General features: G+C 42.2%; 2 protein-coding genes across 22 annotated transcripts in view, besides 2 other annotated features; both read left to right on the forward strand.

The window, feature by feature from the left end:
- RAD17 (RAD17 checkpoint clamp loader component) overlaps positions 1–13,110 on the forward strand; it is a 45,509-nt gene extending 32,399 nt beyond the window's left edge. For all 17 annotated transcript variants that reach the window (NM_133343.2, XM_017009681.2, NM_133338.3 and 14 more), the window contains 2 exons: positions 8,802–8,859; positions 12,340–13,110. In NM_133343.2, coding sequence (NP_579921.1) covers positions 8,802–8,859; positions 12,340–12,601 — 320 coding nt within the window. In that variant the 3' untranslated portion in view covers positions 12,602–13,110. The remainder of the gene's footprint in view (positions 1–8,801; positions 8,860–12,339) is intronic.
- Positions 13,202–14,085: an enhancer, noted in NCBI's record as "H3K27ac hESC enhancer chr5:68710720-68711603 (GRCh37/hg19 assembly coordinates)". NCBI's record gives its function as "activates a minimal SCP1, AML or CMV promoter by ChIP-STARR-seq in primed H9 embryonic stem cells {active_cell/tissue: H9 hESC(primed)}" and the evidence as "EXISTENCE:reporter gene assay evidence [ECO:0000049][PMID:30033119]".
- MARVELD2 (MARVEL domain containing 2) overlaps positions 13,425–26,027 on the forward strand; it is a 29,215-nt gene continuing 16,612 nt past the window's right edge. Inside the window, exons 1-3 of one of the 5 annotated variants that reach the window (XM_005248445.5) lie at positions 13,425–14,033; positions 17,680–18,840; positions 22,910–22,945. In XM_005248445.5, the coding sequence (XP_005248502.1) occupies positions 17,695–18,840; positions 22,910–22,945 (1,182 nt within the window). In that variant the 5' untranslated portion in view covers positions 13,425–14,033; positions 17,680–17,694. The remainder of the gene's footprint in view (positions 14,034–17,679; positions 18,841–22,909; positions 22,946–26,027) is intronic. The other 4 variants (XM_005248446.5, NM_001038603.3, XM_005248447.5 and 1 more) reach the window with 4 other exon arrangements.
- Positions 14,086–14,968: an enhancer, noted in NCBI's record as "OCT4-NANOG-H3K27ac hESC enhancer chr5:68711604-68712486 (GRCh37/hg19 assembly coordinates)". NCBI's record gives its function as "activates a minimal SCP1, AML or CMV promoter by ChIP-STARR-seq in naive H9 embryonic stem cells {active_cell/tissue: H9 hESC(naive)}" and the evidence as "EXISTENCE:reporter gene assay evidence [ECO:0000049][PMID:30033119]".

Consider the following 26,027-nt stretch of genomic DNA (forward strand, 5'->3'; position numbering starts at 1 on the left):
GTACACTAGTTTTTGGCCGGGTGCAGTGGCTCATGCCTGTAATCCCAGCACTTTGGGAGGCCAAGACGGGCGGATCACAAGGTCAGGAGATCGAGACCATCCTGGCTAACATGGTGAAACCCCATCTCTACTAAAAATACAAAAAAAACCCACAAAAAACAAAAAAACCAGGCCTGGTGGTGGGTGCCTGTAGTCCCAGCTACTTGGGAGGCTGAGGCGGGAGAATGGCATGAACCTGGGAGGCGGAGCTTGCAGTGAGCCGAGATTGCACCACTGCCCTCCAGCCTGGGCAACAGAGCAAGACTCTGTCTCAAAAAAAAAAAAAAAAAAAAAAAAGATTACACTAGTTTTTAAACTTTTTGTTTTTTTTTTTGAGATGGAGTTTCACTCTTGTTGCTGAGGCTGGAGTGCAATGGCATGATCTCGACTTACTGCAACCTCTGCCTCCCAGGTTCAAGCGATTCTCCTGCCTCAGCCTCCAAAGTAGCTGGGATTACAGGCATGTGCCACAACACCCGGCTAATTTTTTTTGTATTTTTAGTAGAGGTGGGGTGTCACCATGTTGGCCAGGCTGATCTCGAACTCCTGGCCTTAAGTGATCTGCCCACCTCGGACTCCCAAAGTGCGGAATTACAGGCGTGAGCCACCGCGCCCGGCCACTGGTTTTTAAACTTTATTTTGAAATTATTTCAGGCTGGGCGCAGTGGTTCACGCCTGTAATCCCAACACTTTGGGAGGCCGAGGCGGGCGGATCACGAGGTCAGGAGATCAAGACCATCCTGGCTAACCCCGTCTCTACTAAAAATATAAAAAATCAGCCGGGCACGGTGGCAGGTGCCTGTAGTCCCAGCTACTCAGTGGGCTGAGGCAGGAGAATGGTATGAACCCGGGAGGCGGAGCTTGCAGTGAGCTGAGATCACGCCACTGCACTCCAGCCTGGGAGACAGAGTGAGACTCTGTCTCAAAAAAAAAAAAAAATTATTTTAAATGTAAGGATGCAAGAATAGTACAAAAAATTCTTGTATATCCTTCACTAAGTTTCCTGATTATTACATTTTTTACCATATTTGCCTGATTATATTCTCTCTCTTTATAAGCATGCACATATATGTATTATTTTGCTAAACTAGTCTTGAGTAAATTGCAGGCATGATATCCCATTATTCTTAAAAACTTAAGTCTGCACTTGCCAAAAACAAGGACATTTTCCTGCATAACCACAGTGTGCAATCAAATCAGGAAATTAACTTAATACCGTTTATTTTATAGTCCCCATTCAAATTTTTCCAATTGTCCTAATAATATCCTTTTTTAATTATTTTTAATTAATAGAGATGGGATCTCGCTTTGTTGGCCAGGTTGGTCTTGAACTGCTGGCCTCAAGCAATCCTCTTGCCTCAGCCTCCCAAAGGGCTAGGATTATAGGCACAGGCCACTGCACCCAGCCCTAATAATCTCCTTTGTAAAATGATAACTCCCCATTTCTTGTCCAGAATCCAATGAAAGATAACCTGATGCATTTAGTGATTTAGTTTCCGTGTGTTTTTAGTCTCCCTTGATCTGGAACAGTTTTGTAGTCTTTCTTTGTCCATGACATTTTAGAGGGATATAGGACAGTTACTGTACGATCCCTCAATTTGGGTTTGTCTGGTGATTCCTCATTATTGGATTCAGGATATGTATTTTTTTGGCAGAAATACCACAGAAGTGATCTTAAAAAAAATTGGCAAGGAGAGGAAAGATATCTGGATTCTGACCAACAGATTCATCATGTCCACTGCATAAACGTTATTTTTGCCTATGAATACACAACATTTTAAACACTTTAAGTATCAGTACTTACAAAAGCTGTAAGATAAAACACTTCATTGTATCAAAGTAGATATTTAGTCTTTAATCCTTTCTTCTGATCACTGATAAGGTCAACTCTATCTTTAAAATTTCTGGGCCAGGCATGGCGGCTCATGCCTATAATCCCAGAACTTTGGGCGGCCAAGGTGGGAAGATCGCTTGAGCCCAGGAGTTTGAGACCAGCCTAGGCAACACGGTGATACCTTGTCTCTACAAAAAAATTTAAAAATTAGCTGGGTGTTGTGGCTTGCACCTGTAGTCCCAGCTACTCGGGAGGCTGAAGTAAGGGGATCACTTGAGCCCGGGAAGTGAAGGGTGTAGTGAGCTGTGATCACCCCACTGCACTCTAGCCTGTCTAGCTTGGGTGACAGGGTGAGGATGAGACCCTCTCCAAAAAAATAAAATAAAATTTCTGAGATGTTTTGATAAGTTATATGGTAGATTACTAACATTTTTAATATGACACAAATTCTGTTTTCTGTTTTGAAGATTAGCACCACAGACAGGTGATCATTAATGAAATATGGCCCTTAAAATACACATTACAAAAGAGAAACTGATGGTAAAATTGCTGGTGAAGTTAACTTTTATCATTTCTCCACTAATTAAAAGTTCAGATTCTGGGATCACATCTCTAAGCTGTTCATATCAAAGAGCTATTTTTTAAAGATCCTGATTATAGGCAACAAAAGCAAAAATAAACAAATAGGATTACATCAAAACTGAAAAGCCTCTGCACAGCAAAGGAAACAACAGAATGAAGAGCCAACCTACATAATGGGAGAAAATATTTGTAAATTATACATCTGATAAGGGGTTAATAATCAAAATATATAAGGAACTCAAAGAATGCAATAGTAAGAAAACAACCCAATTAAAAAACAGGCAATTCCAGCCTGGGCAACATGGTGAAACCCTGTCTCTACAAAAAATAGATAAAATTGGCCGGGCACGGTGGCTCACGCCTGTAACCCCAGCACTTTGGTTGGCCGAGGTGGGTGGATCGCCTGAGGTCAGGAGATCGAGACCAGCCTGGCCAACATGGCAAAACCCCACCTGTACTGAAAATACAAAAAATTAGCTGGGTGCAGTGGTGGGCGCCTGTAATCCCAGCTACTCGGGAGGCTAAGGCAGGAGAATTGCTTGAACCCGGGAGGCGGAGGTTGCCATGAGCCGAGTTTGCACCATTGCACTCCAGCCTGGGCAACAAGAGCAAAATTCTGTTTCAAAAAAAAAAAAAATAGATAAAATTAGCCGGGTGTAGTGGCACACACCTGTAGTCCCAGCTACTTGGAGGCTGAGTGGGAGGATGGTTTGAGCCTGGGAAGGGAAGGTTGCAGTGAGCCGAGATCACGCTGCTACATTCTAGCCTGGGGGACAGAGTGAGATGCTGTCTCAAAAGGCAAAGGACCAGATAGACATTTCTTAAAAGAAGACTGGCCAAAAGGTATATGAAAAACTGCTTAACATTAAGGCTTAACACTAATGATCAGGGAAACACACTTAAAACCACAATGAGATATCATATTACACCAGTTAGAATGGCCGTTACCAAAAGATAAATGATAACAAACGTTGGCTAGGGTGTGGAGAAAAGGGAATCACAGAGTTAGTAAGAATGTAAATTAGTACAGCTGTTTTGAGGAACAGTATGGAGGTTCCTTAAAAAACTGAAAATAGGCCGGGCGCAGTGGCTCACGCCTGTAATCCCAGCACTCTGGGAGGCTGAGGCGGGCGGATCACGAGGTCATGAGTTTGAGAGCAGCCTGGCAACATAGTGAAAACCCATCTCTACTAAAAACACACACACAAAAAAAAAAAACACCAAAAAAACTAAAAATAGGCCAGGCGTGGTGGCTCACGCTTGTAATCCCAGCACTTTGGGAGGCCGAGGTGGGTGGATCACCTGAGGTCGGGAGTTCGAGACTAGCCTGACCAACATGATGAAACTCTGCCTCTACTAAAAATACAAAAATTAGCTGGGCGTGGTGGCACATGCCTGTAATCCCAGCTACTTGGGAGGCCGAGGCAGGAGAATTGCTTGAACTTGGGAGGCAGAGGTTGCAGTGAGCCACGATCACGCCATTGCACCCCAGCCTGGCAACAAGAGCAAAACTCTGTCTCAAAAAACAAACAAAAAAAAAACTCTAAAAATAGAACTACCATATGATCCAGCAGTCCCACTACTGGACATATATCCAAAGAATATGAAGTCAAGGCCAGGTGCAGTGGCTCATGCCTGTAATCCCAGCACTTTGGGAGGCGAGGCAGGCGGATCACTTGAGGCCAGGAGTTTGAGACCAGCCTGGCAAACATGGTGAAACCCCGTCTCTACCAAAAATATAAAAAATTAGCCAGATGTGGTGGTGTACTCCTGTAATCCCAGCTACCGTGGAGTCTGAGGCAGGAGAATTGCTTGAATCCAGGAGGTAGAGGTTACTGTGAGCTGAGATTGTGTTGCTGCACTCCAGCCTAGGTGACAGAGCCAGACTCCATCTCAAAAAAAAAAAAAAAAGAATATGAAGTCAGTATGTTGAAGAGATATCTGCCCTCCCTCCCAGTTTTATTGCAGCATTATTCACAATAACCAAGATATAGCGTCAGTCTAATTGTCCATTGGATGAGGAAAACATGGTATATATACACAGTGGAATACTATTCAGCCATAAAAAAGAACAAAATCTTGTCATTTGCAGTAACATGGATGAACCTGGAAGACCTTATTTGAAATGAAATAAGCCAGGCACAGAAAGACAAATATTGCATATTCTCACTTATATAGGAGCTAAAAAAGTTGATCTCATAATAGTAGAGCACAGAATGGGATTACCATGGGCTTGGGTGGTAGGGGAGTTGTTGATCAAAGAATACAAAATTTTGTTATGTAGGAGGAATAAATTCAAGAATTCTATTTTACAACATGGTGACTATAATTAATAGTATTTTGTGTGTGTGTGTGGTTTTGTTTCTTTTTTTGAGTCAGAGTATCACTCTTGTCACCCAAGCTGGATTGTGGTGGTATGATCACGGCTCACTGCAGCCTAAACCTCCTTGGCCCAAGTGATCCTCCTACCTCAGCCTACTGAGTAGCTGGTAACCACAGGTGCGCACCACCACACTTGGCTAATTTTTGTATTTTTTTTTTGTAAGGATGGGGTTTTGCCATGTTGCACAGGCTGGTCTTGAACTCCTGGGTTCAAGCAATCCTCCCACCTCAGCCTCCCAAAGTGCTGGGACTACAGGTGTGAGCTACCACACCGAACCAATATATTGTATTCTTGAAAAATGCTGAGAGTGAATGTAAAGTGTCTTTGCCACAAAAATAATAACTCTGTGAGGTAATATATATGTTAATTAGCTATAGTCATTCTACTATATATATATTAAAACAATATGTTGCCCACAGTAAATATATACAATTTTGTTTGTTAATTAAAATAACTCTGTTTGTAGTAGATTTTTTTTTTTTTTTTTTTTTGAGATGGAGTCTTGCTGTATCTCCCAGGCTGCAGTGCAGTGGCACCATCTTGGCTCACTGCAACCTCCAATTCCCAGGTTCAAGCGATTCTCCTACCTCAGCCTCCTGAGTAGCTTGAATTACAGGCGCATACCACCACACCCAGCTAATTTTTGTATTTTTAGTAAAGATGGGGTTTTACTATGTTGGCCAGTCTGGTCTCAAACTCCTAACCTCAGGTGATCCGCCTGCTTCGGCCTGTGTAGTAGAATTTTTAACAGGTTAAGTATCCAAAGGTCCTCATAGTGTTAGATGTGCAAACTTTAAAAGGTTCATAAAAATTAGTAAAAGTAAGATGTTTTGGTTTTTCTTATCAATTTTTATACTGTTTCTTCCGCTTTTATTTACTATGTCATTTTCAGCCATTATTTCTTTAAATATTTTTCTGCTGCTTTCTGTCCTTCTAGTCTTTCATTAGGGTATGTTCACTTGAAAGTGTTCCACATTTTTCTGAGATTTTGTTTATATTTCTTCTGTCTTCTATATGTCAATCTATGTCCAAGTTTTTTTTTTTTTTTTTTTTTTTTTTTTTTTGGAGACAGAGTCGCCCTCTGTTGTCCAGGCTGGAGTGCGGTAGCACCATCTCAGCTCACTGCAATCTCCACCTCCTGAGTTCAAGCAATTCTCCTGCCTCAACCCCCTGAGTAGCTGGGAATACAGGCATGTGCCGCTATGCCCGGCGGGGTTTCGCCATGTTGGCCAGGCTGGCCTTGAACTCCTGACCTCAGGTGATCTGCCTGCCTCGGCCTCCCAAAGTGCTGGGATTACAAGCATGAGCTACCACGCCTGGCCTATGTCCAAGTTTGATGATACTTCTGGTTCAAATCTACTGTTGAGCCCCTTTAGTGAATTTTTCATTTTAGTTATTGTACCTTTTGACTGCAGAATTTTCATTTGGTTCTTTTTATAATTTTTGTCTTTTTGTTGATGCTCTTTTTCATGAGACATTGTCATTACAGCTTTGTTTACTACTTTGAGCATGATTTCCTTTTCTACTTTGAAAATATTTATAATGGTTTATCTGAAGTCTTTTTCTGTTAAATTTAATGTGTGAGCCCTCGCAAAGGCAGTTTCTTTTACCCACCTTTTTCTTGTGTGTAGGTCACACTTTCCTGTTTCTTTACAGTCATAATTTTTTGTTGAAAACTAGATGTTTTAGGGAATATATTGTAGCAATTTTGGAGAATATTGATTCTCCTCCTCTGGGGCTTGTTTTTATTGTTGTGTGCTTGTTTATTTGTTTAGTGACTTGGCTAAACTCATGTAATGAAGTCTGTCTTTTGCAACATGAAGCCTTCCTCCCTCTTCAGAGAGCTCATCCTTGGCTGTGCCCACAGTTTACTTGGGATGATGGTGGTTTTAGCAGAGCTCACTTTGTCTCTTTCCCTGATATGTCTGTATAGCTCTTTGCTTCCTTTGTTATCACACTGTTGGCTACCCTAATTACTTTTTTTTTTTTTTTTTTTTTTTTGAGGAAAGAGTCTCGCTCTGTCACCCAGACTGGAGTGCAGTGGTACGATGGCTGACTGCAACCTCCGCCTCCTGGGCTCAAGCAATTCTTATGCTTCAGCCTCCTGAGTAGCTGGGACTACAGGCATGTGCCACCATCCCCAGCTAATTTTTCTATTTTTAGTAGAGATGGCGTTTCACCATGTTAGCCAGGTTGGTCTTGAACTCCTGACCTCAAGTGATCCACCCACCTTGGCCTCCCAAAGTGCTGGGATTACAGACGTGAGCCACTGTGCCTGACTACTCCCTAATTACTATCTAATTGCTCTGTTTTCAGCAGTGCTCTAGGACAAAAATTTCTCCACAGGCTGATCCAGTTTAATTTGGGCAGGTGTAGGCTTTCAAGCCAGTTTCTGAGGGTTGTTCTGAAACCAGGAGGGCCCTTCTTAGTTGTCTCTTTCCCTGGTTTCTTATGAACTAGTTGGCTTATGTTTAGCTTGTTCTTATTTAAGAGGAGCTGGTTTCCAGGGTGCCCTTTAGGCTTGAACTTCCCCACACTATGTTTCAAATAAAGTGAGTTCCTTTGGGGAAGGCTTCGGAGCTTTTTCCTACGGACTGCCTCTCCTCTGGGCAAAATCTCTAAGCCACTTATTCTGGGTGGGTGCCCAGCTGCAGAGGTAGCCTCTGATTATTTTGGCTTGCCTCTCCCAGTGTGGACCCTCTGCTATGTAACAAGCTGGGGTAAGGGAGACTGCAGCTGGGACAGGGGACAGTGCCTTTGGGTTAGAACCTCTTATCCTATGAGTAGGGCCAGGTGGGGAAAGGAAGCCCCAAACACCCTGCTGCACTCCAGTAGGAAGGAGTCCTTTGTTCTTGGCTGTACCCACCTGGAATGAAATGTTCATCAAGCTGAGCCCTCTCAGCTCAGGGTTGGGAATGGGAGGGAGGAGATAGTGGCTCAGATGCCTCAGATTCTTCCTGTTTGGTTTTCTTGAATAGATCTTTTCTCATTTGCTGTATGCTATTAGGACAATTTCCAGAGACTTCAAATGATTGATTTTTAAAAGTTTTCACCGATTTTGCTTATCTTTGGGAGTGGGTACACAAGAGCTTATGCTGTCATCCTGAAAGTTTACTATGTCATTCTTTTTCTTTTTGCATTTTTAATTGTGATAAAGTATACAAAGCATAAAGTTTATCATCTTAACCATTTTGAATTCTACAGTGCAGTAGTGTTAAGTATATCCACCTTGTTCTGCAACCAGTTTCCGAAACTTTTGCTTCTTGCAAAACTGAAATTCTATAACTATTAGCATTAATTCCCCATTTTCCCTTCCCCCTGGCAGCCACCATTCTACTTTCTGTCTCTATGAATTTATGACTCTAAATACTTCATATAGGTGGAATCATACAATATTTGTTCTTTTGTGACTAGTTGCACTTAGAATGATGTCATCGCAGTTCATTTGTGTTGGAGCATGTGTCCTTTTTAAAGCTGAGTAATATTCCATGAGATGTATATACCATATTTGGTTATCCATTCATCTGTTGATGGACACTTGGGTTGCTTCCACCCATTGATTATTGTTGATGCTGATATGAACATGGGCATACAAATATCTTTTTGAGACTCTGTTTTTAATTATTTTGGGTATATACCCAGAAGTGGAATTGTTAGATCATACAATAATTCCATTTTTAATTTTTTGAGGATGCACTATACTGTTTTCCACAGCAGCTACACCATTTTACATTCCCATGAGCAATGCACAAGGGTTCCAGCTTCTCCACATCCTTACCCACACTTCTTGTTTTCTGGTTTTTTGTAACAGTCATCCTAATAGATGTGAATTGGTATCTCACTATGGCTTGGATTTGCATTTCTCTAAAGATTAGTGATGTTCAGCATCTTTTCAGGTGCTTATTGGCCATTTGTATATTTTCTTTGGAAAATTGTTTACAACTTTTAAAAAATCTGTTTCAGCTCAGATTTCTTTTATCCAAGATATTGGAAGGCTCCCTCTGAAGCGACACTTTGGAAGGTAAGCTGATCATCTCAATTTCCAAAAAGCTGATAATGAAATGTCTACTGAATATGTTCAGTATGAATCAATAACTGTTACCTGTAACATCCAAGAAAGACATACTGTACCTAGTAATTTATAAACATAATTGTATTGTAGACCCTTCCTTTTCTTAAATATAACAGCATATCTTCACCCACTCCCAATGGACTATACCAGATTAAATGGAAGCATGGAATCACAAAGGCAGAGGAATCTTTAAAATCCTCCAACTCAACAAATCTAGAAACCCCTTGCCAGCTTTCCTGTTGAGAGATGTTCTTAGCCTATGCTTGAAGACCTGCAGTGACTAGGAACTGCCTCAGAAAGTAGAAGAGTCCTTCATATTTTCTTATTTTAGAAAATTTAAACAAGCAAAAAATAGATGTCTGTCTATATATATATATATATATATATATATATATACTGTTCATTTTATTGGAAAGTAGCTTCTGTGCCATTATCAGTGATTAACACAAAACTTATATTTCAGTTTGACTTAGCTTATTTGTAAGATCGAATTAAGCACTTAGGAATTGTTTAAAGATTTTAAAAATGGCCGGGCGTGGTGGCTTATGCTTGTAATCCCAGCACTTTGGGAGCCCGAGGCAGGTGGATCACCTGAGATAAGGAGTTCAAGACCAGCCTGGACAACATGGTGAAACCGTGTCTCTACTAAAAATACAAAATTTAGCTGGGTGTGGTGGCACATGCCTGTAATCCCAGCTACTCAGGAGGCTGAGGCAGGAGAATCGCTTCAACCCAGGAGGTGGAGGTTGCAGTGAGCCAAGATCACACCATTGCACCCCAGCCTGGGCAACAAAAGCAAAACTCCATCTCAAAAAAAAGATTTAAAAAAATCTTGCTTACTGAATGCATGGACAAAAGTAAGTGATAGAAATGGCACCTCTGACTCCTCCTACCTTTTCTCCTATTTCTGGTCCCAAATGGAAAACTCCTGTGATGTGAGCTTTTTCCCCCTCTTTACCCTCCAAGATTCATTAAGGCCTTTGTAGTGTTAATGTTTTTTTCTGTATACTGGCTTAGCTATGTGGGGCCCATCTTTCCTATCGCAGAAAGACCATGATGGATGGATCTTGAAGCATCGTCCCACTGGGATGTGATCAGGGCTTACACATTTCATAAACACTGCTTTTCTTCTCACATCCCTCTGAATGAAAGCAGGACCAAGTCTCTTTGATGGCTTCTCTCCCCAACCCCCTAAGATTATGGCATCAAAATAAAGACAAGTATGTTCTATTGTATTTTTGCTCCTGAGATGTATTGAGTTGCTGCAATTTACACAAGGCTAAATTGAATGAGAATCTTCACTATTTTATTATTGGTTCAACTACCTACTTGATGTGACTTGAGAGGCAGTATTTTCTTTTCTTTTTTTTTTGTAGACGGAGTCTAGCTTTATCGCCCAGGCTGGAGTGCAGTAGCACGATCTCGGCTCACTGCAAGCTCCACCTTCTGGGCTCACACCATTCTCCTGCCTCAGCCTGCCGAGTAGCTGGGACTACAGGCGCCCGCCACCACGCCCAGCTAATTTTTTGTATTTTTAGTAGAGACAGGGTTTCACTGTGTTAGCCAGGATGGTCTTGATCTCCTGACCTCGTGATCCGCCCACTTCGGCCTCCCAAAGTGCTGGGATTACAGGCGTGAGCCACCACGCCTGGCCACGAGAGGCAGTATTTTCAGTGCTATATATTACAATGACTGGTACTATCTTTTATTTATGTTGACCATATTTAAAACCATTGTTCATATGTTTAGTATTTAGTATTAAATATTAATACTTAATATTTAATAGGTGTTTAATTTCCTGTAATTCAACCTACACGTTATTTTTGCCCATTTAGCTTTTTTTCAGCTTTTACTATCCCAGCCTTATAGATAAGTCATCATGCACTTCAAATACTATTTACTTAGGGTGAATTCCTACAAATGAAATTGCTGGATCAATAGGTATATACCTTTTGGGGCTTTTCCTCTTTATTGCCAAATTGTTGGCAAGAATATTTTGCCAGTTTTGTATCCACTTACAGTGTATCAGTATGTTCTTTTCTCCTAACCCTTGCCACCACTGGGTTTTAAAAGTATCTTTGCCAGTTTAGAAGATGACAGTAATAGGCCAGGCGCAGTGGCTCATGCTTGTAATCCCAGCACTTTGGGAGGCTGAGGTGGGTGGATCATCTAAGGTCAGGAGTTCGAGACCAGCCTGGCCAACATGGTGAAACCCTATCTCTGCTAAAAATACAAAAACTAGCTGGGTGTGGTGGTGCCCGCGTGTAATCCCTGCTACTCCAGAGGCTGAGACAGGAGAATCGCTTGAACCTGAAGTGGAGGTTGCAGTGAGCCAAGATCGTGCTACTGCCCTGTAGCCTGGGTGACAGAGCAAGACTGTCTCAAAAAAAAAAAAAGATGACAGTAGTAGCTCATTATGTTAATTTTCATTTTTAAAATTACAAATTAGATTTAACAATTTAGGAACCATTTGTATTTGTTTTATAAGTTGTCCATGTTTGTGCCCATTTTTCTATTTCATTTTTTCCTTTTTAATTTGTAAAAATTCTTTACTGAAGGCTGGGTGTGGTGGCTCACACTTGTAATCCCCGCACTTTGGGAGGCGGAGGCAGATGGATCACCTGAGTTCGGGAGTTCAAGATTACCCTGGCCAACATGGTGAAACCCCATCTCTACTAAAAATACAAATTAGTTGGGCATGATGGCATGTGCCTGTAATCCCAGCTACTTGGGAGGCTGAGGCAGGAGAATCGCTTGAACCTGGGAGGCAGAGGTTGCAGTAAACTGAGATTGCACCACTGCACTCCTGCCTGGGCGATAGAGAAAGACAGTCTCAATGAAAAAAAAGAAAAAAGAAAAATTCTTTACTGAAGACATTATTTCTTTTTATTTTTAGGTGTTTTTGTTGTTGTGGTTTGGTTTGGTTTTTTTGTTTGTTTGTTTTTTGTTTGGAGACAGAGTCTTGCTCTGTCGTACAGGCTGGAGTTCAGTGGCACGAGCTTGGCTCACTGCAGCTTCTGCCTCCTGGGTTCAAACAATTCTCCTGCCTCAGCCTCCTGAGTAGCTGGGATTACAGATGCGTGCCACCACGCCTGGCTAATTTTTCTATTTTCAATAGAGATGGGTTTTTGCCATGTTGGCCAGGCTGGTCTTGAACTCCTGGCCTCAAGTGATCTGCCTGCCTTGGCCTCCCACAGTGCAGATAGTACAGGCATGAGCCATCGTGTTCAGCTCCTTTTTGTATTTTAAGTTGTAGGAACTTATTCAGTTTGTCATTTACCTTGTAGTTTTGTTTTTATAGTTAAAGGGACTAGCTAAACAGCACAATGTAGGTAAATGAAAGATGGCTTCATAATCATCACACTCATGGTGTAATTTAAAAATCTTCTCCTTTGGTTCTTATTAATGCCTGCACTGTGAATCTGACAGATTGAAAATGGAAGCCCTGACTGACAGGGAACATGGAATGATAGACCCTGACAGCGGAGATGAAGCCCAGCTTAATGGAGGACATTCTGCAGAGGAATCTCTGGGTGAACCCACTCAAGCCACTGTGCCGGAAACCTGGTCTCTTCCTTTGAGTCAGAATAGTGCCAGTGAACTGCCTGCTAGCCAGCCCCAGCCCTTTTCAGCCCAAGGAGACATGGAAGAAAACATAATAATAGAAGACTACGAGAGTGATGGGACATAGAAGCCAGCCTGCTAATCAGATTGCTACTTCACAGCTTCATTTTTGTTTCATTCAGTGGTACTTCAGCAGAGTTAATATGCTTTTCTGATGAATTACACAACAGTTTGTTAATTCTTCATTCTTGTAGTATTTCATCACAAGAAACCTACTCTTCTGTCATCTTGAAGTAAATAGAAGATCAAGCCTTCAAATCTCTTAATTTTTTCGGTATTTATTAAATCTGTGAGTGGTTTAAGGAGCGGTCAGTGTGTATAAAGTGTGTTTGAACATTATGCCAAATATCAAGATGTGAAGGACTAATTCAGGATGCAAAAACGTTATTGGGGGGTTGTAAATATCAACTATTCAACAGTTTAGGATGCAATTACGAGTGTAAACTGTGTGCCTTATTTACACTTTATTGTCTCCCGCTTCTCAGATAGTTTTGATGTGTTGTACAGTGGAATATCTTAGATACTTTTTGGAAAGTATTTACATAAGTTATATCACAATTAAAATGTTGAATTTAATTTTGTTTCTCCTGTCTTTTAACATTATCTAGCACGCACTCGCTGCCATGGGTCCTTAAGCACAGTGCACCAATCTCCCTCCCCCAGTGTCAAACTTTTCAAAAGATAGGGAAGAGGATGGCAACGTTGCGATGAGAACTGTAAACTCTTTCCAAAAGAGCCCAGTGTGTGGTCATTGCCGCGACGTGCCGGCTGGTGGCACCGAGCAGCCTGGGCCCAGAGCGGTTGTCGGGCCGACAGATCCGGGCGGGGCAAAGCCGGGCGGGGAAAGCTGGGCTCGTCCCGTCCCGGCCCCGCCCCCACCCCGGGAGCCCGATACCGGTTTCAGAGTCCTGGGCAGCGTGCGCGCTCTTCCTGGCGGCTGCGCAGGTAAGTGGGACCGGGGTGGGGCCACGTGACCGGGAGAGGAGGGCCCGGCGGCCCCCGGCCCAGGTGTGCTGCGACGGACGGCTGCCCGCGCTCGGCGCTCAGCCTGCCATAGCCCGCGGGGGAGGCCGGAGCCAGGGATCCGGGGAGGCCCGCGTCCCGCCAGGTTTCGCTCTGCGGACGCAGGTGCGGCCGAGCCGCCGTCCTTCCGGGCGCGGGGCGGGGCGCGCACCTCGGGGCGATCTCGGTGCTCCTTACCTGGGAGGTCTCCCGGCTTAGTTTCGGCCTCGTTGGGTCGGAATCTCCAAAGACAGTGGGTTTCAGCCAGAAACGCGAAGACGAACGCCTAGCCGGCGCGGGCAGAACCGAGGACACAATGAGATTTGTGGGACCGGGCGCCCAGAGGCTGGCGCGGGGGAGACCCCACAGCTAAAATGCTCGGTACCCCCGGGCAGTCGTGGGTTAGTTAGAACCGCAGAGCCTTTCCCGACCCCTCGGAAGCGCAGAAGTATCCGAAATCTACCCGTTTCTTGGGTCCAGCAAAACTTTTAAGCCAGGTAAACCGGTGGTTCTGTTTGTGTAAAGGTGACCAGGCATGATTCCTGTGACACTTTGCTGGGGCAGCCATTTCTCCTGCCATTGCCGCGGCTTTCCAAGATGAGTGTCCAAGAGTGGAGTAAGGGTCCGGGGCCTGAGCAGGACAAAGACACACGCTGCCGCGACCTGCGGGACCAGAACGAACTCTCAGTGACATCTTGAAAGACATTAGGGGTATCCAGATATTTAAGATGTAATGAAATACAGCTAACCATTCCCTTCTAAAAATCACATTATCTTGCTTTTCCACAACTCTTTAATAATTGCTTGTTTTTTCTTTAAAAATGGATAGGGTGGTTTGATTCAAATAAGCCACTTCACAGGTGAAGAGTTAAATCCATTACAGTGAATCGTATTTTTACCAGTGAGTTGAATTAAGCATAGCGTATCCTGTAAATGCTGTGTAAAACTTGCTAAAATCATTTGTTGTGCTTTTGCTTCTACATTTCTTAGGAATGTGTTTCAAAAACTAGAGTCGTAATAGCATTTCTAGAACTTACACTTTTTTAGAGAAAGAAAGAGAAAGGTACAAAAATAACTGATTGTTATAATATACAGAGCCGCTTTGCATTGGGCACCCTGCTGGGGCCATCACAGTTAATCCTCTAAGGTCGGAGTGCCCTATTAGAAGACCCTGGGTTTCCACCGCATTCCCTTGTCTCCAGTCTGTACATACCCTGTGTGCCTTGCTTGCCCTCTTAACGTCTCTACCTGGATTTTTAACGCATCTGAAACACTCTTCAGTCTGCTGCTCCCCAAGGCTAAGCTGGAGGGGTGGAGAATGAGGTATAGATAGATAAAATGATCAGATGTCTGGGGTTTACTTCAGAGGACTCTATTGGCAGAGGAAATAGTATGGGGAGTATAAATGAAACAAGTTTGGCCATAAATCGATAAGTGTAGAAGCTGGATGTGGGTACACAAGGGTTCATAATGCTATTCTTTCTACTTTTTATTATGTTTGAAAAATTCTATAATAAAAATTTTAAATACCTGTCTAGCATTTGACCTCTTCTCAAGATCTCAGTGATCCATTGGATTATTTCAATGGCCTAGCCAGTCTTCCTGTTTTACCTCTTGCCTTCTGGAGTGTACTCTCAACACAGCATCCATAGTGATACTGTTAAAACAAGTCAAGTCATGTCACTCCTCTATTCAGAATCCTCCAGTGGCTTCTCATCTCACTCCTAGCAAAAGACAAAGTCCTTTCTTTCCAGTGGTTTTCAAGGCCCTACATGATTCAGATGGCCTCAGTTCTACTATTCACCTTCTTACCCACTTTGCTGCTGCCACAGTAGCTTCCATGCCTAAATATTTCTTGAACATACCAGGCACTCCTGCTTCAGGGCATTTGCGCTAGCTATTCCATCTGCCTGAACACTTGTCCCTGATAATGGCCTGGCTTCCTCCTTCACCTTCAGTTCTATACTCAGATATCCCTTTCTCTGTGAAGATTTCCCTGCCCACTCGGTTTAAGATGGTAACATCCTGTCCCCATTGCAGTCTTTACCCCCTTTCTCAACTTTGTTCTTTAGCATACTGTATATTTCATTTATCTATCATCTGTCAATCTGCCCGGCACTCCCCCGGTTAAAGCATCATGAAGGCAAGGATTTCAGTCTGGTTTGTCCACCAGTATACTTTCAGCATGCCTGGTGCAAGGCAGGTTAAATGAAGGGTCTTCGTTTTCCAAAGTAAAATAAAATAAAGCCTTAGGAATTTCCAAATTGTTCAACAGTATAAAGATGGGGTTATCAGACCAGGTGCAGTGGCTAACGCTTGTAATCCCAGCACTTTGGGTGGCCAAGGCAGGAGGATCGCTTGAGCCCAGGAGTTCAAGACCAGCCTAGGCAACATAGTGATACTTAATGTCTACTAAAAATTTTAAAGAATTAGCGGCCGAGCGTGGTGGCTCACACCTGTAATCCCAGCACTTTGGGAGGCCGAGGCGGGTGGATTATGAGGTCAGGAGATCAAGATCATCCCGGCTAACATGGTCCCCATCTCTACTAAAAATACAAAAAATTAGCCGGGCGTGGTGGCGAGCACCTGTAGTCCCAGCTACTTGGGAGGCTGAGGCAGGAGAATGGCATGAACCTGGGAGGCGGAGCTTGCAGTGAGCCGAGATGGCACCACTGCACTCCAGCCTGGGCAACAGATTGAGACTCTGTCTCAAAAAAAAAAAAAAAAAGAATTAGCTGGGTATGGTGGCATGCACCTGTAGTCCCAGCTACTCAGGAGGCTGAGGCAGCTGGAGTGCTTGAGCCAGGGAGATTGAGGCTGCAGTGAGCTATGATTGTGCTCCTATGCTCTGGCCTGGGAAACAGAGTGAGACCCTGTCTTAAAAATATTAAATAAATAAAACAATAACAAAAAAGATGGGGTTATCCATTTTAATTTTGAGACCTTCATAGTATCAAGTACAATACCATGTGCCCAGTTTAAGTCTTCAATAATGAGTCTTGGCAGGGTGTGAATGAAAAAATTTTTTTAAGTCTTCAAACAAAATACTTATAAACAATTCGAGAGAGAAATTCAGCATACCTTAAAACTAGTAGTTAATTCACAAATGGTTTCCTTCTTTCTGTATATGGGTGCAGAGCATTGATTTCATGAATCAACAGGCTTAGTAAAAGTGCATTTTCTATGCTTTATTTTTGAGGTGGATTGAATACCTTCTGAGATACTTGAGTCTCTCCTTGGGAACAGTAAATCACCTGAATTGCCCTCGAAAGAGTAATAGTAATGGTCATTGCTGCCATTCTCTATTGTGCCTTGGGGGAGCCTTAGCCTTTGGTGATGTTGTCTCTGAGATTCAACTTTTTTACATCTAGTTTCAATTGTTAATATTTTAGACTGGAAGAAGCAAGTCCTCTAAAATGACTTTGTTGATTTAGGAAGGGGAAGGGCTGTGCATACCCTGTGTTTTAACAGACTGCCTCTCCTAGGCTATTCCAAGTGAAAATGAAGAATATTTGCTGACCCATCAAATTTCGCTACACTCAAACTCTTAGTATTTTGATTTAGATGTTTGAGGAAATGACTCTACTTGGGAGTGTGTTCGCGTTCTGTTGTGTTAAAGTTTTGTCACTTTTGTTTTTTATTTTATTGTTTAATAGGGCTCACAGATAAATTAGATTTATAAATCATTTTTCATTTCTTTTTTTTTTTCTTTTTTTTAGAGACAGAGACTCACTGTGTCAGCCAGGCTGGAGTGCAGTGGCGCAATCTCGACTCACTGCAACCTCTGCCTCCCGGGTTCAAGCGGTCTATACCTCAGCCACCTGAGTAGCTGGGATCACAGGCGCATGCCACAACGCCTGGCTAGTTTTTGTATTTTTAGTAGAGATAGTGTTTCACCATGTTGGTCAGGCTGGTCTCAAACTCCTGACCTGAAATGATCCGTCTGTCTTGGCCTCCCAAAGTGCTGGGATTACAGGCATGAGCCACCGTGCCCGGTATCATATTTATCATTTTTGTATATCATAATAATTAGACATGATCCTGTTGGTCTCCTAAATACTTTTTGCTACTACATGAATAAAATCAGCATCATTGAGAGGATAAGTAACTAATCATAAGTGATAACTTTAAATTTGGCCACAGGTGTGAAAATCACAAATGTCAAATGATGGAAGATCCAGGAATCGGGACAGGCGCTACGATGAGGTCCCAAGCGACCTGCCCTATCAAGATACCACCATAAGAACCCACCCAACTCTTCATGACAGTGAGCGGGCAGTGAGCGCTGATCCCTTGCCACCACCCCCTCTCCCATTACAGCCACCATTCGGCCCAGACTTCTACTCAAGTGACACAGAAGAACCAGCTATAGCGCCAGATCTCAAACCAGTAAGGCGCTTTGTCCCTGACTCCTGGAAGAACTTTTTCAGAGGGAAGAAAAAGGACCCCGAATGGGATAAGCCGGTGTCTGATATCAGGTACATCTCCGATGGAGTGGAGTGTTCACCACCAGCCTCTCCAGCAAGACCAAACCACCGTTCGCCCCTCAACTCCTGCAAAGATCCCTACGGAGGGTCAGAAGGAACCTTTAGTTCCCGGAAAGAGGCTGACGCAGTGTTTCCCCGGGATCCCTATGGATCTCTAGACCGACACACACAAACAGTTCGAACATACAGTGAGAAGGTGGAGGAGTATAACCTGAGATACTCCTACATGAAGTCGTGGGCAGGCCTGCTGAGAATACTGGGTGTGGTGGAGCTGCTTTTGGGGGCCGGTGTCTTTGCTTGTGTCACAGCTTACATTCACAAGGACAGTGAGTGGTACAACTTGTTTGGATATTCACAACCGTATGGCATGGGAGGCGTTGGTGGATTGGGCAGTATGTATGGGGGCTATTACTACACTGGCCCTAAGACCCCTTTTGTACTCGTGGTTGCTGGATTAGCTTGGATCACCACCATTATTATTCTGGTTCTTGGCATGTCCATGTATTACCGGACCATTCTTCTGGACTCTAATTGGTGGCCCCTAACTGAATTTGGAATTAACGTTGCCTTGTTTATTTTGTATATGGCCGCAGCCATAGTCTATGTGAATGATACCAACCGAGGTGGCCTCTGCTACTATCCGTTATTTAATACACCAGTGAATGCAGTGTTCTGCCGGGTAGAAGGAGGACAGATAGCTGCAATGATCTTCCTGTTTGTCACCATGATAGTTTATCTCATTAGTGCTTTGGTTTGCCTAAAGTTATGGAGGCATGAGGCAGCTCGGAGACATAGAGAATATATGGAACAACAGGAGGTAAGTGATTTCATAATCCCTCATTTGTGTGTGTATGTTTGTTTTTTCTGTTATTTGCTCCCTTGTTAAAAAATGTATAGCGCTCAAAACAGAAAGCTTTCATAGAAATCTTTTCTTTCTTCCTTTTTTTTTTTTTCAATGGTCTGAGATTCAAAAGTCCTAGTGCAATATCTGACATGCTTTGACTGGGATAACCCACTCTGGTGTTTGGCTGTTACATAACATTGCAAGTAGACACCAGATGTGTAATATATAGTTTGTTGGCTGCATTATTATGTCTGTCTGAAGCTTAAGGGAAAGATACAGCTACCGAATTTTTGCAAAGAAGAAGAGTGTACTCAGTAAAATAAGTGTCTCATCATTAAGTTTGAGAACAATCTTAATTCTTTAATAAAAGCTCCTAATTTTTCATTTAAATGTTACAATTTACTTTCTCCCAGTGAGTTGAATAAAGCCAAATAAGAATGTGGTAAACCATGTTTGATTTTTTTTAAGTATTGAGAGATTGAATTGTAATGAACATACTCTGAAAACTTGCCCAGTGGTTTTGATAATTTGTCTTTATTTGAGGAAGACGTATGGTCCAAAATGAGAATGGAAGTCCTACATTGTTTTTATATTTCTAGAACTTAATAGGATAATAATGAGAATAAATAATAATGAGAACAATAAGAAGAATAAAATAATAATAACTGAAGGATGAGATAAAAGCCCTACCTAAAATTATTTTGGTTGAACAGTAGCAAATGTTAGAGTATGTTCCACTGGCTACATTATTCTCTGAAGTAAGTTGATATTTTGCCTTCTTCCAAGGATATGTGTATAGTAGACTCTCCTATGCCACTGAAATTTTCAGTATTTACCTTAAAATTTTTTGTAATTTTAAGTTAACTATATTATGAATTTTTGCTTTTCCACTTTTCCTAAGACTTCTTAGATACTATACAATTGCACATGGTATATATTGGGCAAAACTATAAATAAAAATTAAATCCTGTCCTTATAACAGCACACACTGACATATGTATTTTGTTTTTAATCTTTTGCTTGAATCTGATGCATAGCAACAAATAGCGCTTTGGTTTTAAAATTTTTTTAATTTTTTTTTTCTTTAGAGATGAGTATTTGCCATGTTGTCCAGGCTGGTCTCAAACTCCTGGACTCAAGCAATCCACCTGCCTTGGCATCCCAAAGTGCTGGGATTACAGGTGTGAGCCACCATGCCTGGCCCGTTTTTTGGTTTTTTTAATTTTCTTTTCTTTCTTTTTTTTTTTTTTTTTGAGACAGAGTCTCACTCTGTTGCCAGAGTGCAGTGGCACTGTTGCGGGAAGTCAGGGACCCCAAACAGAGGGACCAGCTGAAGCCATGGCAGAAGAACATAAATTGTGAAGATTTCATGGACATTTATTAATTCCCCAAATTAATACTTTTATAATTTCTTATGCCTGTCTTTACTGCAGTCTCTGAACATAAATTGTGAAGATTTCATGGACACTTATCACTTCCCCAATCAATACCCTTGTGATTTCCTATGCCTGTCTTTAATCTCTTAATCCCGTCATCTTCATAAACTGAGGAGGATGTATGTTGCCTCAGGACCGTGTGATGATTGAGTTAACTGCACAAATTGTTTGTAGAGCATGTGTGTTTGAACAATATGAAATCTGGGCACCTTGAAAAAAGAACAGGATAACAGCAATGTTCAGGGAACAAGGGAGATAACCTTAAACTCTGGCTGCCTGTGAGCTGGGCGGAACAGAGCCATATTTCTCTTCTTTCAAAAGCAAATAGGAGAAATATCGCTGAATTCTTTTTCTCAGCAAGGAGCATCCCTGAGAAAGAGAATGCATCCCTGAGGGTAGGCCTCTGAAATGGCCGCTTTGGGGATGGCTGTCTTTTACAATCATAGATAAGGGATGAAATAAGCCCTGGTCTCCTGTAGTGCTCCCAGGCTTATTAGGACGAGGAAATTCCCGCCTAATAAATTTTGGTCAGACCAGTTGTCTGCTCTCAAACCCTGTCTCCTGATAAGATGTTATCAGTGACAATGCATGCCTGAAACTTCATTAGCAATTTTAATTTTGCCCCGTCCTGTGGCCTGTGATCTCGCCCTGCCTCCATTTGCCTTGTGATATTTTATTACCTTGTAAAGCATGTGATCTCTGTGACCCACACCCTATTCATACACTCCCTCCCCTTTTGAAAATCACTAATAAAAACTTGCTGGTTTTACGGCTCGGGGGCATCACGGAACCTGCCGACATGTGATGTCTCCCCTGCACACCCAGCTTTAAAATTTCTCTCTTTTGTACTCTTTCCCTTTATTTCTCAGACTGGCCGACACTTAGGGAATATAGAAAAGAACCTATGTGAAATATCGGGGATGAATTTCCCCCAATATCTGGCACCAGGCTGGAGTGCAGTGGCACAATCTCTGCTCACTATAACCTCCGCTTCCCAGGTTCAAGTGATCCTTCTGCCTCAGCCCCCCTAGTAGCTGGGATTACAGGCACATGCCACCATGCCCAGCTAATTTTTGTATTTAGTAGAGACAGGGTTTTGCCATGTTGGCCAGGCTGATCTTGAGCTCCTGACCTCTGGTGATCCATCTGCCTTGGCCTCCCAGAGTGATAGGATTACAGGCGTGAGCCACCACACCCAGCCTTAGATTTTCTTTTTACACCTAGTGGAATGGGAAACAAATCGTTTTGTTGTCGTTGTTGTTGTTGTTGATGGTTTGTTTTGAGGAAGGGTCTAACTCTGTCACCCAGCCTGCAATACGGTGGCACAATCATGGCTCACTCCAGCTTTGACCTCCCAGGCTCAAGCAATCTTCCCACCTCAGCCTCCCAGGTAGCTGGGACTGCAGGCATACACCACCACACCTGGCTATTTTTCAATATTTTTTGTAGAGACAGGGTATCACTATGTTACCCAGGCTGGTCTCGAACTTCTGGGCTCAAGCAATCCTCCTGCCTCAGCCTCCCAAAGTGTTGGGATTATAAGTATAAGCCACTGTGCTTGATGGAAAAAAATAGTTTTATAACAAGTACCTACATGTTATACAAAGGACTTTGACATGTGTCCATGTGATCTCTCTCTCTATATATTTTAAATTTTTTGTAGAGACGGGGTCTTGCTATGTTGCTCAGGCTGGTCTCAAACTCCTGGCCTCAAGCAATCCTCTCCCCTCAGCCTCCCAAAGTGCTGGGATTACAGGCATAAGCCACCATGCCTAGCTTGATTGTCACAAAATAATTTATCTTGCTAGAACTCTACATAGATTCAAGTTATTTCTAAAAATGTGTCTTAGCATTTTAAGCATATTTCTTACATTTTTGTTTTTTTATGTAACCTTCACATGTATTAAATTTTTGTTTCTTAAAGTTACAATTTATTTCTTAAATGTACATCTCTGTGTACAAAGTAAAAAATGTTAATTCTAATCAGTATGAAATCCAGATAGTGAAACACATACTTCCTCATAAATTTATGCTAGTTGCATAAGTTATTAAATCTTAATATTTAAAAATTCTATATGAATAGAATGATCAACATAATACTTTTATTTCTTTTTCCTTTCTCAACAAAAACTTATGTCTATGAGACTTTTCATAATGCCTAATTAGACTTCAGTCACCTGATGTTGAAAGTTGTGCCTGTCTGTACGTTGCTATAACTTCCTAAAGGTTAGAAGATGTAATGGCCTAGGGCTTTTTTCTATTAATTTTATAGAGTAATTGTCCTAACTCTTTAATCATGCAAAGTAATGGGAGGCAAGAATAAATAAAATTTGAGGGTAATTCAGAGTGGTTTATCTAACAGTTTCCACCATCTCCGTATTCCCTACTCCTCTCTATGCCCTGATTGACAGGGAATTACAGTTATCCCTCTTCTCAGTTCTCCACTGGCCCTTCAAAACCTAGGCAAAAAAAGGATGAGAAACACCCGTCAAGTAGAGGATCAACCTCTTAAAATTGAGGTTGGGCTATAAATGCAAATGGATGAAAATATTTGCAAAGTAGCTTCACATGCCTTTGAAAAACTATTTGAACTCTTTTTGTTCCAGATAAATGAGCCATCATTGTCATCGAAAAGGAAAATGGTAAGAATAAAGTTTACTTCATATTATGCTTTAGATTTGTTAATACTTTTCTCTTAGGTCTGTTTATCTACATAGTAGTATCGTACATCTGTGAAATGTAGCTATTGGCCAGGTGTGGTGGCTCACACCTGTAATCCCAGCACTTTGGGAGGCTGAGGAGGGCGGAGCACTTGAGACCAGAATTTCAAGACCAGCCTGGCCAAAATGGTGAAACCCTGTCTCTACCAAAAATACAAAAATTACCTGCACGTGGTGGCACACGCCTGTAATCCCAGCTACTCTGGAGGCTGAGGCACGAGAACCACTTGAATCTGGGAGGTGAAGGTTTCAGTGAGCCAAGATCACGTCACTGCACTCCAGCCTGGGTGACAGAGTGAGACTGTTTAAAAAAAGAAAAGAAAAGAAAGTGTAGCTATTACATGCAGCCATAAAAAATGATGAATTCATGTCCTTTGTAGGGACATGGATGAAATTGGAAATCATCATTCTCAGTAAACTATCGCAAGAACAAAAAACCAAACACCACATATTCTCACTCATAGGTGGGAATTGAACAATGAGATCACATGGACACAGGAAGGGGATTATCACACTCTGGGGACTGTGGTGGGGTCGGGGGAGCGGGGAGGGATAGCATTGGGAGATATACCTAATGCTAGATGACGAGTTAGTGGGTGCAGCGCACCAGCATGGCACATGTATACATATGTGACTAACCTGCACAATGTGCACATGTTCCCTAAAACTTAAAGTATAATAAAAAAATATATATATATTAAAAAAAAAAAAAGAAATTGTAGCTGTTACATCGAGTTCATATTAGGACTTTGAGCTTTTTTCCAGATACTAAAAGGACCAAATTAAACAATCATATCTATAGCTGCTTTTAATTTTGTTAGATGAAAATTTATGCAAGTAAACAAACCAACATATGTTTGAAATTTAATTATTTTTTAAATGAAAGTGATTCTCTGAAACTTTCTTCACTTGTATTTAAAGTTCTGTGCTGTTCTTTGTATCCTTCTCACCTTGCTTTCAGATGCCAAATTTTTTACTACACTCACAGGACAGTTAAAAAAGAAATTAATAATAATAATACTTTTTTTTTTTTTTTGAGATGGAGTCTCTGTCGCCCAGGCTGGAGTGCAGTGGCGCTATCTCGGCTCACTGCAAGCTCCGCCTCCCAGGTTCACACCATTCTCCTGCCTCAGCCTCCCGAGTAGCTGGGACTACAGGTGCCCACCACCGCGGCCGGCTAATTTTTTGTATTTTTAGTGGAGACGGGGTTTCACCATGTTAGCTAGTTTCACGAGGTCAGGATGTTCTCGATCTCCTGACCTCGTGATCCGCCCGCCTCGGCCTCCCAAAGTGCTGGGATTATGGGTGTGAGCCAGCATGCCCGGCCAATAATACTTTTTTTTAAAGATGCCAAATTTTGTAGTGTCAGGGAATTTCTATTCCACAATTTACCAACTGTGTGGCAGCAGACAAATTATTTAACCTTTCTATGCCTGCATTTCTTCATCTGTGAGATTGCAATAATAATAATTCATACCTCGCAAGTTTGCTGAGAGGACTCAGTGAGATGCTGTTATCATTATTTACATATATGTAATAATTTATTTTAATAATCATAATTTTACCCTCATTGAAAATTTTACCCTCATTTTTTGAGATACTGGACATTATTATTATTATTATTATTATTATTATTTTTAGACAGAGTCTTGCTCTGTCGCCCAGGCTGGAGTGCAGTGGTGCGATCTCAGCTCACTGCAACCTTCGCCTCCCAGGTTCAAGCAATTCTCCTGCCTCAGCCTCCTGAATAGCTGGGATTACAGGCGCCCGCCACCACACCCAGCCAATTTTTGTATTTTTAGTAGAGACAGGGTTTCACCATGTTGGTCAGGCTGGTCTCGAACCCCTGACCTCGTGATCCACCCGCCTTAGCCTCCCAAAGTGCTGGGATTACAGGCGTGAGTCACCGCGCCCGGCCTGGACATTATTTCTTAGCAAGGAGTTGAGAATTCAGTCTTTGGATTTGTTTCTCTGAAAAGAGAGCATATTTACTTGGTTGAAAATTCAAAAGGGTCTGTCACCCAGGCTGAGGGCAGCCGCAAACTCCTGGGCTCAAACAATCCTCCCACCTTAACCTCCCAAGTAGCTGGGACTACAGGCATGCACCACCATGCCAGTTAATTTTTAAATAATTTTTAGTAGAGAAGAGGTCTCACTATGTTGCCTGGGCTGGTCTTAAGTGATCCTCCTGCCTCAGCCTCCCAAAGCACTGGGATTACAGGTGTGAGCCACCTCACCCAGCCAGCAAGTGAACTTCAGAATCAGGCAATCTAAATTTGAGTACTAGGTCAGCTACTTACTAGCTCTGCGATCCTGGGGAAATTGCTTACTTTCTCTGAACTTCAGTTTCCTGTCTGTTGTTTGGTTTAATACTAGGGGGTGCCTTCTTATTTTGTGTTTTAATTAATATAATTTTTAAAAGCAAATAAGACTACTTTTAAAAGAAATAATAGATATAAGATCACATAGAGACAGCAACAAATTCTGAAGTCTGTGCTTTAAGTGCTGTGCAGGTTTATATTATAAGCTAGAAAAGCCGGAATCTAATGTGGGCATGGAACGTGATGGTATGGGTTTGAGGTCAGGGGCCTGTGCATTATTATATTATACACTCAAAGGGAGAGAGAATCAAGAATTGGAGAAATAAATGCATACTGAAACACATAGCTAGTTCTCCCTATATCTTTTCCTTTTTTTTTTTTGGTTTGTTTTTTTGAGACAGAGTCTCACTCTGTCACCAGGCTGGAGTGCTGTGGCACGATCTCGGCTCACCGCAACCTCCGACTTCCTGGTTCAAGCAATTGTCCTGCCTCAGCCTCCCTTAGTTCTCTCTATTTCTAACCTGACAGATATTCATTCAGCCCATTTTTAAGTTGAAAAGTTTAATAATTATATTCATAACATTACTTAGACTAGTTTTTGCTGGAAGCAAAGAACGGTCATGTTACTCTGGGGCACTGGGACATTTTCCCCTTTCCTTTGACATGTCTGTCATCAAGAGTAC

The sequence above is a fragment of the Homo sapiens genome, chromosome 5 (genome assembly GCF_000001405.40).
Source record: "Homo sapiens chromosome 5, GRCh38.p14 Primary Assembly".
Taxonomy (NCBI): Eukaryota; Metazoa; Chordata; class Mammalia; order Primates; family Hominidae; genus Homo; species Homo sapiens.